At 37.7% G+C, this 19,762-nt stretch overlaps 1 protein-coding gene across 3 annotated transcripts in view, besides 1 other annotated feature; it reads left to right on the top strand.

Moving 5' to 3' along the window:
* The window catches only part of SAMSN1 (SAM domain, SH3 domain and nuclear localization signals 1), a 174,190-nt gene that overhangs the window by 84,339 nt on the left and 70,089 nt on the right, over positions 1 to 19,762 (top strand). The gene's annotated exons all lie outside the window — the stretch shown is intronic.
* Positions 2,688 to 2,747: a silencer, noted in NCBI's record as "silent region_13214". NCBI's record gives its function as "represses an Ori minimal core promoter by ATAC-STARR-seq in GM12878 lymphoblastoid cells {active_cell/tissue: GM12878}" and the evidence as "EXISTENCE:reporter gene assay evidence [ECO:0000049][PMID:35858748]".

Below are 19,762 nucleotides of genomic sequence, written 5' to 3'. Positions count from 1 at the left end.
CATGTGTGTTAGGAGAAGGGGTGGACAAGAGAGTTTACGTGATCTTATTAAAAGAAAACGGTAAAACGGAAGAATAAGTAATAGCAATTTTTGGTGTAAAAATTCAATAATATGGCAAACACTTTGTAGTACCTGTATATAAAATAAGCCTGAAAAAAGGTCTCGCCAGACATGCAAACACATTTTTTATTAGATAAAGAAGAGCTTGTAGAATAAACACATAAAATATGAGATATTATAATAGTAGAAGATGTCAGGTTTATGGAAATTCCTTAGGTTGAATATGAAGTAAATCATAAATGTGCATAAAATGTTTAAGTGTCTTTTCCAATAAAACATTTTACAATAAAAATAAAGATAAAATGAGAAAATGTAATTTCTCTGTAAGTGTGAAGTATTAGTCTAGAAACCCAGGATAAATAGAGGTAATATTAAAATAGACTTTTGAGACACAGCAATGTAGCATTCAAACCAGTCAAATTATTTGGGTTGATGTTTGGCTTTTCCCAATTACACAAACTTCATGCATATGTGAAAACAATAGTCCTGTGATCTAGTTATAGAATTGTTATGGAAACCAAGAATCCCTCTTCTTCATGAATTACCCTAAGGATTTTGCTCCTTTTCTCTCTTCATGTGTTTTCACTCTGTGCTTGTTTACTCAAAGGCATCATATTAAGGAGAAAGTTGAATTGATATTCCTTATAGTAAAATCTTCCTAAAGTTATCATAAAACATTTGTAATTTAGATTAGTTCCTATGATCATGAAATAAGATCCATGATAATCAAGTATAACTACATTTTGGCTTTCACAAGACAGTTGGAATACGTTTCACTGGATTCTCAAATAGAAGGAGGAAGACAATTATGGACAATCTGAGGTGGGGGCCCAATATGCTTATTAGCCATGAAAGACCTAAATGTCCTTTTTACTTAGAGCCTCTCTTGCATGCTCCAACAGAAGGAAGCAAATCACCAAAGCTGGACATCAATCTTTGGCAGGAGAGAAGCCTGAATGTTAGAACATTTGAAGGAGCTCATTAGAACATATAATGAGCCTTGGCAAATGCTCCAAGTGTTGCCAAATTTTCTTTTATTGCAAAGAAATATGTTCATAATTCAAATACTGCTAAGCAAACTATAGAAAAGACATATTTTGCATGTGTAGCATGGTGTGTTAGAAGCTGTGTTATACCCTTAAGGGAATACTGCTCAAAGCCAGAAGAGTCAGCTATGAGCTTAGCTCTGTCATAGTAGGATCTCTTTGGATCAAATTGCCTAATCTCCATGGGCTTCTACCTCCTCATCTTTGGAATGGAGGAGAATGTCAATGATTTTTAAGATCCTTGCTGTCTTCAATAGTTTGGGTCATAAGGATACAATGAGGAAGATAAATTATATGTGCAGAAAAAGTTTTGTATATAAAGGTTTCTTTCTAATTTTTCAAAGCAATTTTCTTCAGATGATGCCTGTTGGCCGTATTTCTACATTTTTTACCTTTACCTCAGCTGGTTTAGGTTTAGGGTTTTGTTTTTGTTTTTGTTTTGATTTCTGAACAACTATACTTCCTCTATCCCATCTCCTTTCTCTCTCCCTCATGGTCTCTGGATGCATCAGCCATGACTTAAACAATGTAAGTCAGAACCAGCAAGTATGCATATGAATTCACTTCAGGGCTACAGAAACTTCTTCATGAACAAGAATTTCCATTTTCATTCTCAGGAGCTCTCACCATTCTAACAAGAAGTACTTTAAAAATCCTTTTCAATGCTATTTCAGAGGAGTAAAGTCTGCTTTGAAAAAATGGATGGGTGAAGTTTAAGTAAGACTGTAGAAGGGAGCAGAAGATCAGGGTCTGTGCGGTATAAAGAGTGCTTGGTTGGAGAGAGACATCTGCTTTTGCCACCATCACCCTGACTCCCACCCATCATCACATACACACTAGGTGCCACCTTGAGTGGTTCATGCCTTTGAAATCTTGTTTTCAGCACAGAGACACATTGTGATAATCATGGTCACCATTGACTTAGCACTTGACTTTATTTCAGGTAATTTTATGTATTCTTTTAATTGTGTTATGATTCAGTAAGACAGTATCATGGTATCATTATTTCTATTTTATATGTAGAAATCTGAAGCTCAAAGAGGATAACCGATTTATGCAGGTGGCAGAGCAGGATTTTAAGCTGAAATCTACATATAATCCAAAGTTTTTCTGCAAAGATCATGGCTTTGTAATTTTTGAGACTAGGCTAGTAACTTACCTTTACTTATCTCATCTATAAAAATGGAGACATCAGCTCCCAGCTTGCAGTATGAAATGACACCTTGGATGTGAAAGGGCTAATTAAAAGTAAGGGTTTAACAGCTTGATAATTAGAGACCCTGCCTTCAAGGTGCAATATAACTTTTCTCACATTTGCTCTTCTACTAGCTCTATGAATTAGGCAAAGCATTACTGCCATTTTACAGATAGAGAAATTGAGGTGCATGAAGATTAAGTGAATTACCTGAGATCCCAAACAGCACATGATGGCAGAGCTGATGCTGAACATAATCCTCCTAACTCTTAGTCCTGACTTTTCCCATCACTAAGTTGTCTTTAAATTTTGCAGTAGATCTATAAATAACCATGGCAGTAAAGAGAAGCAGCATATGGTGGAAACTCCGTGAGTCAAATAAGCCTGGACTTCAACTGTGGCCTCACCATTTACTGTCTGTGTAACTGTTAAGTCACTTCGTTTCTCAGAGTTTCAGTTTCTTATCTACCAAATGGAAAACACAAAGATTTCTTTGTGGAATTCTAGTAAGAATTGGACTAGATAATGTATGTAACATCTTTAACTGTACCTGACACCTAATTGGAACTTAATGAAGAAAAGCTATTATTTTCAAGGGAAATTTTTATCATTTAATTATAATTTATTATTATATGTTTCTAATTATTTGTCATTCAGTAACAACAGCATAATGTCGATGATATATCAGGTATTTCCCTGAGCTGTGTGGCCACAATGGTGACAAAGACAGGTTCTTGCATTAGGATGTCACCATCAACAATTCTGTATTACACGAGAAAATGTTGCACTGAATTTACATTACTGGTTTCCAGTAGTTTTTAAGATTATTTCATATAGTTTGCCCAATTATCTCCCTGGAACTAAGAAAGCTGGAGCTAACTCACTGAAATGTATACAGTGAGCAACGGGTGAGAGTTTACTTTTAGCTTCTTGGGGGTACTCTACTGACCCCATGCCTGTGAGAGACTGGGGAAAACAGACAAAAAGAAGAAGAGGCTGGAGTGCACATGCTGGCATCACCGTTGCCCTTTTCTGACCTCCCGAATTGTGACTGTATTGACAGTGTCTTGCATATGTAAAATGATGTTACCTTTTTAAAACTCTTCTCATATATTTTATAGTAGCCACATCACATATGCATTTCATGATATTTTATTTCAAAGTCATAATATATCGCTCAGTCATAACCACCTTTTTCAGAAAGAATGAAAAATGAAGGAAAGAAATTCATGTTCCCTCTCCTTCCTGGGAAGTTGTAAAGCAAGTGGTTGAATTCACTCTAAAAACCCTTATGAATATTCAGTGTAAGATCTTTATGCATCTCATGGTTCCCAGCTATTAAATACAACCATAGTGATGAATAATTGGATTAGAAATATGGCTTTATTGCAGCTCACCTCAAGCCCAACCCCAGTGGAAGCCCATGTCTCACTCATAGAAAGGATTTTTTATCCAGGGCACAAGATACGTTAAAATCAAGAACTGATTTATTCATTTACTCAACAATTTGTTTTGAGTATTTACATCATGCCAGTTAAGGAGGATAAACTGTTGGGTAGAAACAGATTATTGTGAACCTTATAGTCTAATTAGAAACAAAAATATATTTAATCACATAAATAAACATGAAATGCCAGCTTTGATAAGAGCTATGATTGTTACATGGTTCTGTGAAGGCCAATAATAGGCGAGGAGTCAGAAAATGCTTTCATGGGTAGTGATGATAGAGTTCAAATGTGATGGAAGAGAAGAGTTAACTAACTGATAATAAGGACAATGAGAATTCATAATAGCTGGGAGAGAAAACACGGAGATGTGGGATAAGGTAAGCCTGAGGAAGGAGTCAGACCACATATGGTCTTACAGGTTATGCTGTTTTGCTGTGTCTTCCCTAAAAGCAATGAGGAAGCTAAGCAAGAACTGTTTTAAGCCAAGGGCTTATTTTGATATTTCTTGTTGATTTGTTGAGGATATGAGGCTTGAGTTGATATTTTGGAAAGATCACTCTACATACAGTGAAGAAAATAGATTTGAAGGGAAAAATAGATGAAAGATGATGGTGGCGTGAACTATGGTGGTAGAAAGACAGAGATTAATGAAAAGCTCTCAGGCTCATAGGATTATGTCTCCAACATATACATTTCTCCAAATGAAAGAAATGTCAGTTTCAAAAGTCATCTCTTGTGATGCCAACCGAAAAGCTCTATTCAATTTAGGACATATGGTCACAGATGACAGCAGAGAAGTGATACAATGACACGACTGCACATTCCAAATCTGTCCTTTAATTTTTAAAGCTCAGAAACTCATAGCCACCATAGTGGCTTAGTGGAATTACTACCAATGGATAAGGAAATGTCATCCATTTGCCTCCCCTGATTCCACTTGGACATAGGCCATTGTTTCTACAAAGAGTGGCTTGGAGCCATGCAAGGTTTCAAGGGAAATTGGCCTTTTAGAGGGGCATATGAATAGATAATGCATATTGCCACTGTAAAATCTCTAATGAATATTAAGGGTGGCTTTCATTTGTGGTGATTGAAATGAACTCATAAATTCTCTCTCTAGAATGCGGGAACTTTTTCCTCCCTGTGGAGAGATTTAATGGATTTGCGGCATTCTGAATGATTTGGCAAGAAATCAGAGGTACCTGCGCAGTCACCCGCAAAGGGCACTTAGTTTCTCGCATGTGATAGTCAACCACCACAAAATATTTTCTGTGTGAACCCAGAATGATTGATGCAAGCCACTGTAACTCATGACAAGGTGTCAAGTGAAAAACTGGGGGGGGGGAAAGTGGTTAAAGACACCACAGTTTTAAAAACAAATTTGACTTTTAGAGGAGAGTTATTTCCTTTTAGAAAAAAAAAAGTTAGGCCTACTATCTGCAAGAAATTTAGATTCGTTGTTTTTGGTAAGAACCATCATATTTTGAGGCCACTGAGAGCTCCTACTGCTCTCTCTATGGAGCAGATTAAATCGTTCCCATATAGTGATAAATATATTGCAAAAAGCCATATCAGGAATACAGTAGTTGTAGCAGTTAATGATAGAACTTCCAGTTAAAACAATATTCTTTGTGTTTCTTTGGCCAGTTCCCATTTTATGTGTGCTATTTTTTGATAAGTTAATTTTTCACATTTGCAGAATCAATAACTTTCAAAGCTTTATACAATTGAAAAGGAAAAATTGGTTGCAAGAGTTCTTGGGAGTTTTGCTGGCTGTGTGGGCTTGGGTTAACAGAAAAAATCTGGGAAAAAAATCTATCAAAAAAGCAGATGAGGGTTAAGATTAAAAATATCATCAGCACTAATTTTTTTGTACACATCTAAGGAAATTGGGGAAATAACCCAAAACAGCAAAATGGGGAAATAACCCAAAACAGCAGTCGGCCAAAATGAATTCATTTATTTTACTGTGTAATGTGGAAGAGAATTATCTTTTCAGAAGAAGTAACTTTTAAATGCATTTTGTTTTTGTTTAGAGATAGGGTCTTGCTCTGTTGCCCAGGCTGCACTGCAGTAGTGCGGTCACAGCTCACTGCAGCCTCTATCTTCTGGGCTCAAGCCATCCTCCCACCTCAGCCTCCCAAGTAGACAGGACTATAGGCATGCAACAACACGCCTAGCTATTTTTATTTTTTTTTTTAAATAGAAATGAGGTATTGCTATGTTGCCTAGGCTGGTCTTGAACTCCTGGATTCAAGTGATCCTCTTTCCAGCCTCCCAAACTGCTGAGATTATAGGCATGAAGCTACTATGCCTAGCCTTTTTAATGTTTTTTAATGCTGGACTTTCAGGATCTGAAGTAAAATGAATTCTGGTTAATTTTGTTATTTTGAAGGAGTGCATTTTTGTGTGAAATGAATCTGTCATCCTGCTTTCTTATATTATCAATCAGTAAGATACTATGAAGGAGGTTAACCCAAATGTTGTGCATTTATTTACATGAAGGAATTACTACTAATACTATGATTTAAGACACTAGATTCCCTTTTAACACTGGATAGCAAAGTTAGTTTCAGTGGAGAAATCTTTCTGAGTGTAGACTTGGCTCTTAATTAGGCTTCCCTTGGGAGGGAAACTTCTTCATTTGTGAAGATTCTGGGTTGGAGGACAAGCCAGCTGACATTAGCTGGGGTTTCTTTAGCTGTAAAATAAATGGATAGTACTAGATGACCACTAAGACCTCTTCTATGAATAAATATCCATGGATCAACTTTATGAAGGAATGAAGAGTACTTGTGGATTATATTAAGCCATCACTGGGGGGAAGACCTGATTCCCGTGAAAATATTTCCGAACTTAGTACCTTATATGGCAAAATGCTGAACACCTTTTATTACTCAGTTTTAAAATAAATAGGCAAGAAATAATATGTGGTGTTTTTCCAGTCGCCTTTCCACACTTGGCTGTCATACAGTGGCACACTTATTAGAGCTCAGTGCTGCTTAGATGTGAAAGGTTGATATAGTTCTATTTATGAGGGGGATATAGGGAACTCATTCTAATTGAGAATCAGAGGCCTTATAAACCTGAACACTTAAATGAGAGACATGTCATTAAAGAAAGAATCACTTCATGTAATGTTTTCAAATAAAACCAATATTTGTTTTACAATTTTGATAGAATACTATGTTCTAAAGCGGTATTTCCCAATGTGTGGTTCCATGATTAGTAATGCTTGCTTAATCCAGACTTACTCAATCAGAATTTCTAGAATGGACATCATTTCAAAAGCTGCTTAGGTGATATTTTATGCTCACCAAAGTTTTAGAACAACTTCTGAATAGACGAACACCATTTTTTATTCTCTGATTTTTCAGTTTCATTTTCACCTATCCAAGAAGTCTTTTTGAGAATCTCTCATATGTATATTATTTTCACAAGTTATTAAATCCAGAAGGTACAACAATCCTGTAAAGTAGGCAATTGAATTTTCCAAATGAGAGGCAACAGGGCACCGAGATTGAGGAACTCGCCCAAGGTCAGTCAGTTTCAGGGCTGAGCTGCGGTTTCAGTCAAGGTCTTCTTAGTCCCATTCTTGCCATACACATCACCTTAGGACCTCACACTAAGAACACAGAAAAGAAAAAAGGACACCAGGACGCCAGGAATGGACTGGGTGTCCCTTGGTAATGCTCAGTACTCAAGGTCTTTATGATCAGCTGGAAGAGTGTACAGAGCCTCTAATGGGTGCAGTGGATAAATCCCCAGAGGTAGTTTTGTGCTTTCCAACCGACTGGGCTAAAAATCCCATTAGAGAATATTTGGGACTTTTCATAAATTGTGGAGTAGAAAAATCCCCAAGCAAAGGGTATTAACAAACCACAAGTTCACTTAGCATATATTTTCCAGATTTTACAAAATGGTTTTAAATTAAATAATTTTTATCATTTTAACATAATCTTTTTTTGATATTTATGTAAATAAAATCTGATGCTCTGGACTGGGTCATTTTTTGTGTTTTTTTTTTTTTCAAGCTTGCCGTCCAAGCCGGATTAAAAACCATTCACCTGACTTACTCGTGCAACTTCCTCTTATTTATGGCTACTCTTTTATGTTCTTTACTGTTATTTTCCTTTCTGTCTTCTGACAACACCGCCCTGGTACAGATGTTTTAGTGGATGGCTTTCTTGTGGTTCTAGGAGCCATGAAACCCTCTGTCAATACCACTCTGTATGACCGAAGGCACCTGGCATAGCATTCAACCCAATCATTGAGGAGCAAAAGTCATCTCCTCTGTCAGAGGATCAAAGAAAATGCCCAGTTTACTAATCATAAAGCCTACTTACTTTAGTAAGAGTTTCCAATATTGTTTGGTCATGATCTCTATATCCTAAGATGTTTGAACCATGACAATAGGTCTCTAGGTGGTGTGCATGTGTGTGTTTCTTTGTACTGGATAACACTAACATGGCTCAAAAAGAAATATGAGAAAGGCCAGGTGCAGTGGCTTACCCCTGTAATCCCAGCACTTTGGGAGGCCGAGGTGGGCAGATCACTTGAGATCAGGAGTTCAAGACCAGCCTGGCCAACATGGTGAAATCCCATCTGTACTAAAAATACAAAAATTAGCAAGGCATGTTGGTGCACACCTGTAACCCCAGCTACTTGAGAGGCTGAGGCAAGAGAATAGCTTGAACCCGGGAGGCAGAAGTTGTAGTGAGCCAAAATCATACCACTGCACTATAGCCTGGGCGACAAAGTGAGACCCTGTCTCAAAAAAAAAATTTTATATATATATATGGAAGGTTTTATTAGATTTTTTTATGGGCCAACCTCCCCCTGCCTTTACCTTTGTAAAATGCAGTAATTTTTAAGTGGCATTATATGGTGGTAGTCTTATATGATGCAAGAGATACTTTAAAAATCTTCCTTTAAATGTCAGAATAGATTGTGGGAAATGAAAATCACTGGTGTTAAATGGTAACAAAATTAATGATTTTGAAATACTTATGTTAAAAGGCTTTTTGAAATTGACTACTTAGCTTTTGTAGTGTGCTTTTTCTGATGGTCTTGCAACACTTGGATATCCTTATTTAACACAATTAGTAAATTTGATAGCTATATTTGTTGTGCATTACTTCAATTCAGATGCAAGTGGAGAAAAGTCTCCTTTGACTAAAACACAACTGACTTTAAATGTGGTTACTGCCAATGAGTTGTCAATGAGAGTAGCAGCTTGCCCTTTGTGTATCTGGGAAAATTGTTAAAAAGGTAAGATTATGTCTTTACTAATAACGAAAACAGAACCAATTAGCAAGTCCATCTGCAGATAGGTAATTGGAAGTGAATAAATTATTATGTCTTCCTGTTATTTTCATTGTCAAGACATACGTCCCATTGGCAAGGAGACAAGGTTTGTTGGTTTGCCTTTTGAAATTATACAAATCTACCAATCCCCAAATATTTATTAAACTCCTCATATGTTCAGAGCATTTTTGCACTTTTATTGTGGCTAGCATTGTATTTATTCATTGTGATGTTGAGAAGTTTATGTAGCATGGTATAACGGAAAGACCACTAGACTTTAAAGGAAGGAATCCTGAGTTTAAATTTGGAATCGATGACATCCGCAGTCACACTACTCTCTGATCCACAGTCTCTTTCTGTGTGGTGGGAAAAATAAAGCTTTCTCTCAGACTTATTGTTAGGATGCTAAGAGATATTTTATGTGCTGGTGCTTAGATCTCTGCTTGGTATATAGATGGAGGCCAAGAACCCATGTTAAAAGGAAACAAATACATATTTCAGAAAGCTGCATCACAAAACCAGCAAGGCAATTGTAGATTTATGTGTAAGCAATGCATTTTGTTGAGTTCATTGACTTGTTGTGGCAGTTTAACACTGTCTCTGAACTTCTCAGCATGACTCCTGGTGTAAAAGCTAGTGTTATCAATAGAGGATGAGTCATTGAAGATATTTTCCCTGCGTCTTGGAGGCCTTCTGTGAGGTATACAAACCAAAACATGTTTTTTTTTTTTTTTTTGGATAGAGTCTTGCCAAGGCTGGAGTTCAGTGGTGTGATCTCAGCTCACTGCAACCTCCGCCTCCCAGGTTAAAGTGATTCTCCTGCCTCAGCCTCCCGAGTAGCTGGGATTACAGGTACATGCCACCATGCCCGGCTAATTTTTGTATTTTTAAGTAGAGATGGGGTTTCACCATGTTGGCCAGGCTGGTCTTGAACTCCTCACCTCAAGTGATCCACCCACCTCAGCCTCCCAAAGTGCTGGGATTACAGGTGTGAGCCACCACTCCCAGCCCAAAACATGTTCTTTTTTCTTCTTGGTTTTACAAGCTCCCTGGTGTGCCCTTTTTGTTGCCCCTCTGCTCAATTTCAGTTGCTTCTCCATCCCTTTGATTCCTGAACCCTGTTTTGGAAATTATGCATGCTATAACTTTTCCTGCTGAGTGGATTTGGAGTGATCCTCCCCAGCCTTCGGTTTCTTCCTCTGACTGCTCCTAAAAATACTCCCTTGGGTCTTAGGAGAAGGTGACAACATAGTGAGCACTTGGAAAGGAATTACAAAGTGGAAAATGAATTGAAAGAAACCAGAGGAAGAGAAGGAGGGATAGGATAAAGAGGCGATCTTCTTTGACTATAAAATAAAGCTTTAGATGTACAGCCAACTGCTAAAGAAATGCATGGAGTTGCTTTTGGCTTATCATCTTTCTCCACTAATTATCTTGTGAGTTTTATTCTGCATGACAGGTTTGGCTGTGTGGTACAGTGGTGTCAGACAGGCCTGGGTTTAACTCTTGACTACTTGTTAGCTTTTTGTCTTTAGGTGAGTTAGCTGTTTTGTACCACAGTTTTCTCTTTGCAACACAGGAGACAATAACACTTGATACTGTTGTTAAGAGGATTTAGTGAGATGCAGTAATCTATAGCAGATTATCAATAAATGTTTGCTCATTTTGCTCATTTTTTCTCTTCCAAGAAATCTCCCTTCTTCTCATCTACTTCTAGGCTTTAATAATGAATGAGACTGAGTATAAGAGTATGGGAAATGGTGGCTTTAAAACATATAATCCATATTCTCCATCGGCGTCTCCATAAAACCCTTCTTCAAGTCAGTATGTAGGCATCTAAGGTCCTCTTAGATTATCTGATTTGAAATCAATTGCATGGGTTCAGAACCAGACATTACTCATTTTAAAAATCCAGATAGTGTAAGCAAATCAGACTTTTAAAAAACGAATGTATTTACCAATGCTAGACATATAGTAGGAACTCGAAAATGGTGTTGGGGTAAAGGAATGACAAAATGAATGAATGCCAGTAGGTGTGTATACCCAACTTGGCCACCCCATGCAGATACAAGCTATTTTTGGTTCACTTTTGCTACCATTCTTAATTGTACCTATATTCTTGTTAAGTCTTTTCCTACTTAGGTTATTCTACCACTACTTATGCTGACACATATGTCAATTGCTGACACGGGGCATTCACAGCTCCTTCCAAGTATTTTATACCTGTTCTTTCCATGGAGAACATTTGATTTGCAGGGTAAGAAACTATTGTGAAATTCTGTTTAAGGCCACTAATCTCTCTAAAATATAACTTTGTATGAATCACGAAGTATAGGAACCACTGTTGTTTTTGTACCCAGGGCTTAGTTACTGGGGAAGAAGCTCACTCACATGGTAAGACTACACTACATTTGTACCACAAGTAGAGACACTTGGGCTCTAGACCCAGTGCTGCTCTCAGCTTTATTTTTTTCCCCTTAAATTGAGCTTCTCCAGCTCTTTTTTGAGCCTTAACTTTCCCAAATAAATTTTATGATTTTACATAAAAATACCAAAGACAACTGAATACTAAATTGTGTACACAAAAGTTTTTCATACTTACAGAGTCTTAATTTAATAATATCATTGTGTAATTTGCATTCAAAACAAAGTGAAGTCATGTTAAATTTCTCCTTCAATATAATTCAATTAGAAACATATACTTTACATTTTTGGCTATGTCATATAATTAATATTTTGGCATCAGTGTCAGTTATGGTATTCCAGTAAATGAAATGAAAGATATTTTGGGACATATCTTACAGTTGTTAAATTATTTACTCATATATGCAAAGACATGTTGTGTCTCAGGAGGTTATGATGACATTGCAGAATATGAATCAGAATGCTTTAGCAGTGTCTCCTTGCTCTCTAGTGAATCTGGTCATTTCAGTAAAGATATATGACTTGTAAAGTTTGTGCATGTGCATTTATGTTGTTGGAAATACTGAAAACATACTCAATTTTTCTGCATTTATAATAAGAACTATTTAAACCATCCAAGACTAGAAACAGCTAAAGAGTACATAGACTTAGGAACATCAGAGCTTGGAATACAACCTACCCAAATTAGAAAGAAGTCATTTGCTTTCATTAAAGCTACCAATTATCATAACAGTTCATTACATTGGAAGAAATATACGTAACAGAAAATTACAGCTGTATTACAGTATCCTTAGTATTGATCTTACTTGGAGAATGCTTCTTAGGATTTTTGCTTGCATTGGAGTAGATAGTTCAAGATATGGATATGAATTCATTTTTCCAATTAGGATAAAGATCAAGAAAAACAATTCTGGGAAGTCAAATTGCTTGATACTGGAATATTACTTTATTCATTTCATGGTGATGAGTTTTCAACTGAATTTTTTAATCATAAAAATATCAATATCAAAATCATTTTAAGAGTCCATATTATATAGTATTATATACATACATATATATAAATATATATAGTATAGATAGTATTAGTATTATCATTTTTCACTATGACATTCCCATCACTAAATAAGGGGACCTGGCAGGATTATATTTCAAAGCATGTCTCTTTCTTTGTTCAGGTAACATTATGCAGACAGGAGAGCTCTAATATAACATGTTGGACCAAACTGAGAGAGAAGAGGGGTGATCTTTTCTGCATTCTGTTTGTCTGTTTCATAGACAGGAAAACACCGAGGAAGTTTAGTGATCAACAAGCTTTAGAAATTTTGAAAATTGGAAGAAAGGTATATCTCTCTATTTCCCATCTCTACTCCATGCTCCACATTTCAGCCAGTGCCTTTTATCTAACCACATATCTAACTGTGTCCCTCTCTTGCTTCACAATGGTTCTTCAATTGTTCCCCACCCCATGTAAATGTATACATGCTCACCTTACATTCAGCTCTACACTATTGAGCATAGTATATTGGTTTTCCAAGGCTGCCATAACAAAGTCATACAAACTGGGTGGCTTACAGCCACAGATATTATTGTCTCAGTTCTGGAGGCTAAAAGTCCAAAATCAAGGTATTGGCAGGGCCATGCTCTTTTCAAAGCCTCTAGGAGAGACTCCTTCCTTGTTTCTTCCAGCTTCTGATAGCCCTGGGCATTAGGCATTCCTTGATTCATGGTGGCATAATTCCACTTCCTGCCTCCATCTTCACATGGCCAGTCTCTCCCTGTTTGTTCTTATATGGTCATCCCTTTGTGCATGTGGGTGTCCAAGTTTCCCTCTTCTTTCAAGGACACTGGTTTTATTGGATTAAGGGTTCACCCTGCTTCATATGACCTCATCTTAACTAAACTAATTATGTTGGCAACAATCGTATTTCCAAAGAGGGTCACATTCTGAGGTGCTGGGGGTCAGGAATTCAACATATCTTTTTTGGCCATATAGTTCAACCCATAACACATGCCATCCAAATGCTTCAGAATCTGGCTGTAAACTAACACCTGTCATCTCCCTCCCATGTCTTTCTCCTTATTTATCATACACATTTGATGTAGGGAATTATTCCTCAGTTCTAGACCATATTGTATTTGCCCAACAGGTTTTCCTGCCAACTACGCAAACAGCATAAATCCACTGAAACTATGGCATTGCAGTAGAGAAGAATTTAATTGATTGAGGCCAGCCCATGCAGAAGAACTAGAGTTATCACTCTAATCAGGCTCCCCAAAGGCTTGGAGGTGGTTTTTATGGACAATTTTGTGGGCAGGGAGTTAGGGAATGGGTGCTGCTGATTGGCTGGGGAATGAAATCACAGGGTGTTGAAAATGGTCCTCGGGCACTGAGTCTGCCTCTGGATGAGGCCACATGACCAGTTGAGTCATGAGTCTGGGTGGGGCAGCGTGAAAGATACCTCAAAAAACCAATCTTAGATTCTACAATAGTGATGTTATCTACAGGAGAAATTAGGAAAGTCACAAATATTGTAACCTCTGGCTACATGACCCCTGAGCAGTAAGGAATGGTAGAAACTGTGTCTATCTTATCAGTGTTCAAGACCCTCTCATAAAAGCCTAACAATGTGGCCTTTCATTAGTTTTGCAAAGACGGTTTAGTTTTGGACTTTTAGCCTCCAATACTGAGACAATAATATCTGCTGCTATAAGCCACCCAGTTTGTATGACTTCGTTATGGCAGCCTTGGAAAACTAATATACTATGCTCAATAGCGTAGAGCTGAATGTAAGGCGAGCATGTATACATTTACATGGGGTGGGGAACCACTGAAGAACCATTGTGAAGCAAGAGAGGGACACAGTTAGATTTGTGGTTAGATAAAAGGCACTGACTAAAATGTGGAGCATGAAGTAGAGATGGGAAATAGAGAGATATACCTTTCTTCCAGTTTTCAAAATTTCTAAAGCTTGTTGATTACTAAACTTCCTCAGAGTTTTCTTGTCTATGAAACAGACAAACAGAATGCAGAAAAGATCACCCCTCTTCTCTCTCAGTTTGGTCCAAAATGTTATATTAGAGCTCTCCTGTCTGCATAATGTTACCTGAACAAAGAAAGAGACATGTTTTGAAGTTTAATCTTTGCTCTAAGATTAAACTATATACTAAATTCTTCCTAAAGTTAGCTTGGCCTACACTCAGGAATGATCAAGGACAGCTTGGAGGTCAGAAGCAAGATGGAGTCAGCTATGTCAGATTTCTTGCTGCCATAATCTTGCAAAGATGGTTTCAGTACCAAACAATTTCATGTCTCTAATATCATATACTCTGCCCATTGCTAGAATATGCCCCCCATTTTTCTTGTCCACCTGACAAATTCCTGTTTCACTAAATGTTTTCTCAAGAATTACCTTTTTAGTAAAACATTTCCTAACTTCTCCAGGCAAATTAACAATTTACCCTCTATGCTTTCACTGCTTATTACACCTCAGATTGATACAGAACATGTTACATTGGATTCTCACTCTCTGTTGATCTGCCTGTCTTCCCACTGAACTGTAAAGTCTTGGAAGGCACAGTTCATACCTTTCCGTCTTTGGACACCTGACAGAGTCCCAGGCCCATAATAGATATTTGGTAAATAATTGTTAAACAAATAAGATGAGACCACCTCCTTCCAAATCTTGCAGCATAACAAGAATGCTGGGAAGAGCCCAGAAACAATATATTATGCCTGTGGGGAATTCAAATCCCATTCATTCTTATCTCTGTCTGCCTAAAAGAGGGATTTTGAGGCCAGGCTTGGTGGCTTACACCTGTAATCCCAGCACTTTGAGAAGCAGAAATGGGAGGATAAATTGAGGCCCGGAGTTCAAGACCAGTCTGGGCAACATAGGGATAACCTTGTCTCTGCAGAAAAGAAAAAAAAAAAATTAGACAGGCATGGTGGCCAACACCTGTAGTCCTAGCAATACAGGAGGACTAGAAGGATCTCTGGAGCCCATGAGTTCAATGCTGCAGTGAGCCATGATCATGCTATTGAATTCCAGCCTGGGTGACTGAGAGAGCCCCACTCTCTGGAAAAAGAAGAGAGACAGAAAGAGACAGATTCTCCCAAGGGACCTTCACTAGTCAAGACATTAGTCAGTCATAGAAAAGACTCTTAAGCTTATTAGGGTTTTCCAAGGTGGTGATCAAAGCTGTGCTGGTTTAAAGACCAGCAACAAACTTCTGTAGTTTCCCCATTGCTGCCTTGGTAAGGTGATACTACTGAGTGGATTCTGCTCACCTACTGGTTGTCAGAAGAGATGACCTTTGCTGTCTGAAATAAAGAAGCTGCCTTTGCATGAACCACATGACATACTGATTGCACCATAAACTAGAAAAACAAAAGCCCATGTTTTTCCCCTATATATTTATTATCTTGTAAAGAAAGTTTCTTTTCTTTTTCAAAGGAGAAGTGTTACTTTTCTAACACACTATCTGCACAAACAGGAGTTGGCAAATTCAAGTCAAGCTCTAATATTCAGAGAATTATAGGGCCAGGATTTTAGTGGAGATGGGACCGACATAATTTCTTTCAATGGGTGAGGAGATATTTCATTTCAATGAATGCTTTGCAGGAAAACTCGTGGGTTCAGAATTAGAAGTCCTGGAATCAGGAGCTGAGTCGGTAGAAAAGGAAATTCAAATAGTTTTTCATATGCGTAAAAATCAGAATAAGTACTTCACAGGAAAGCTGTTAGAATAAAATAATTTATCTTAAAAGATGTTGAAGCCATGGGACAGAATGTTATAAAGATCAATAATAGATCATTATCATCATTAGGAAGGTATTTTGACATATCTTATGAATTTCTCCATACAGGAGAAAGTTTTGGTTGTTGTTGTTGTTGTTGTTTTTGTTTTTGTTTTAATTGAGATGGAGTCTCACTCTGTCACCCAGGCTGGCATGCAGTGATGAGATGTCGGCTCACTGCAACCTCCATCTCTTGGGTTGAGACAATTCTCCTGCTTCAGCCTCCCGAGTAGCTGGGACTACAGGCATGCATCACCACGGCCGGCTAATTTTTTTGTATTTTTAGTAAAGATGGTGTTTCCCCATGTTGCCCAGGCTGCTCTGGAACTCCTGAGCTCATGTGGATCTACCTGCCTCAGCCTCCCAAAGTGATTGGATTACAGGCGTGAGCCACTGCGCCCAGCTGAAAGTGTTTTTTTTTTAAATAGTTCGTAGCATGCGTGTTTCCAAATTTTTGCTGGATTTTTTTCTCATGTTGTCTAATTCAACATTTGTTCTACCTGCCATAATCCTTTTGAGTTTTGAGGGGTACGGATTCTGCAATTTTAATCCTGTTACTTGTCAATCCAAGGAGGTGGCCTAAAACGTGCACACCTATACAGTTGAGACGATTCGTTTATTCAACAACCATTTCCTGAGCCCCTGTCTGCCAGGTTCTATGCTAGTGCTAGCGATAGGCCTAATTTCTGCCTTCCAGTAACCAAAATAAACCAACAACACAACAAATCATCAAAACAGTAAAAACAATCAAGCACCTATATGTGTTTGATTGGAGAAAGCCCTTTGTGGAGGTGACATGAAGGCTCATGCCATCACTCCTCCAAAGTCCACATGCTCTCATCACACCACAGGACCTCCACGGACAGGTGGCCTGAAGGAAAGCAGGCTTTGATGACAAGGAGCCACCCATGTCAAAAGTAAAGGGAAAAGCACTTCCCGCAGATGGAAAAGCTTGAGCAAAATCCCAGGACAGGTAAGAACTGACTGGTAGTCCAAGTGCAGAGAGATCAGCGTGACCAGATCAGAGAAAGAAAGGAGGAGAATGGCATAGATAGGCAAAGACCAGAGACGTTCCAGCCTTCCTGGTGATGGAAAAGAGTGTGGAGTTTGTGTCAAGTGCATTTGCAAATCCACAGCTAAATGCTAAATCTAAGTGAAAGCAGAAGTGAATTCCCCGTAGAAATTTCCCTTAACTGGTAGCTGGGGATAAATAGCATATTCAAATATCATTAGAGCATGTGACAGCAAGAAAACACCAGGTAAAAAGAGCAATGATGTGTGTACAGGCTTTGAAAACAGGGGTTGAACATGTTCCCAGGAACCTGGGTCACACTATGACCACGTCCTAGAAGAAGTATGGGGCGTGAATTCCTAGGAATCTCAGGCTTTCTACCTTTGTCCCTGAAGGAGAGAGGATGAAATTAGTATTTGTTAAGACTCTCTCTGTGTCAGGAATTTTATACATTTTGCACAATTTAATCCCAACAATAATCTCATGAGGAAATGTTATTTTCTCCTTTTAATTAATGAGGAAATTTGAGACTTGGAGAGGACAGGTGTCAGGCTCAAGTTCATGTAGCTTGTCTGAACTCAACTCTACATCACTCCTCCAAAGTCCACATGCTCTCTTCACACCACAGGTTCTCCGTGGATGGGTAGAACGAGGAAAAGCAGACCCTTCTGCCAGGCCTGCTCAGCAGAAAACAGTCTGAGTGTTTCACTGCTTGCAGGGGCCACTCCAGGAGGTCAGAATTACATGCTCTTGGAAACATAACAAGAAATCTGATTTCTTTCCAACCAGATATTGGTTTGTAGTTAATCAGTTATTATTATTATTTTGGTTGGAGAGGGTGTTGCTGGGCACAGATGTTAACTTGGATATTCGGTTTATTGTATATTCAGTTGACAAAACCAGATCTTTCTTTCATTTCTCATAAACATGGCTGCAAATGTTATGGAAAAGTTTTCTTATTTGAGAAAAAATAGAATTGAGTTGCAGGTAACATGTTTCTAAAATCCTGTCAATGATCACTTGATTTTTGTTTCCTCTTCCCACAAATAACACATGCAGATGCTTTCAGTTAGAATGCAGGTAGGCTTCCGAGGCAGCATGCCTCACTGTGGCTTTGCACTTCATGTATAAACCTCACTTTGTGTGTGTTGGGTGGGAGAAGGCAATGTGCATCTATTTACAATATACTCAGTCTCCTAAGAAGCTCTTTTATTACCCTTTATGTTAAAAAGAAAAGGTGGAATTCCATTTAATTGGAACAGCCTAATATGTGTATGTGTATGAACACACGCATGCATATACACATACATATATACCTAAGTATATATGCAGATTTATGTAATATACATAGGAAATTTGATTTAGCTGTGATACACATTTTTTCATTAAAAACATCCACCGTAATTATTTTCTATTTATTTGTAATTAAACTGACATGCAATTGGAGTATTTCATCTTATAATTATATTGTTCTCAAAGATGATGGCATGAAGATCATATGAGGCTTTTGATTGTTTTAAGAAGTAGACAATACACTTACCCTCTCCTATAGCTTTACAACTTTGATGTAGTTTCAAATGATCAGGCCTGAAAAATAATCTGGTCACTCTTGAATCTGCTATAAATTTTTCTGATGAGTGAAAATAGAAAGGAAATAGAAATGATCTTGTTCTTCCTGTTTAAGAATAGCGTTTCTGAGGAAAGGAAGCTCATATATATCTCTTCCATGAAATTCTACTAATTGCATTTTTCTTCAGTAGGTAGAGACAGGAAATCATGGTCTATTGATCAGTACAATCTACTTTCCTCTTTGCTTCTGGGGAATAAAGTATGAATTAAGCAGGCAATTTTAATATTATACACGAGGTGTACTATGTTCAGATAAAAGTTAATAACAAAATTTATAACAAAGCACTTCTGTGCAAAATTTAGATCAATTTGTTCTGTCAGTATTGTAATATGGACAGAATTGCCTTTCTGCCAAATGAGGCACGATTCAGTGGTACTGAATAATATTCTAAGTTTAAAAGTTATTTTGAAGATTTTTAATAAAAACTTGAGCTTCGACTGTTTTATCCTGTTTATAAAGAATGAAAAGGCAAACTCTTCCACAGAATACTGTATTTTTGTGCTTGTGAGAAGAATATGAAAATGTGGAGAGAGCACAATCACTTACATGTAAGAATGGGCTTCAATGGAAAGGCTTCATCTGTGTGTGTTGCTTTCTTCCTACTGTGTCATTCTGCCATGTCCCTATGCCAATCTGAAAACTTTAAGGTAGGGGTGGTATTGACAGGAATCAATACCTGCTATATGTTTCATATAGTTAGGAGCTGAGCAAATAAGATAAATATGTCCAAATGTTTTAAAAGGCAGGGTGAAGGAAGAGACTTGGAGTTAATAAAAATGTGAAGGAATGTAGTTGGCAAAACTAGATTTTGTTTAAATAGCTACATACACTTACCAAGAAGA

The sequence above is a fragment of the Homo sapiens genome, chromosome 21 (assembly GCF_000001405.40).
Source record: "Homo sapiens chromosome 21, GRCh38.p14 Primary Assembly".
NCBI lineage: Eukaryota > Metazoa > Chordata > Mammalia > Primates > Hominidae > Homo > Homo sapiens.
The sequence above is the reverse complement of the archived record's forward strand: the minus strand, read 5'-3'. Positions and strand labels throughout refer to the sequence as shown.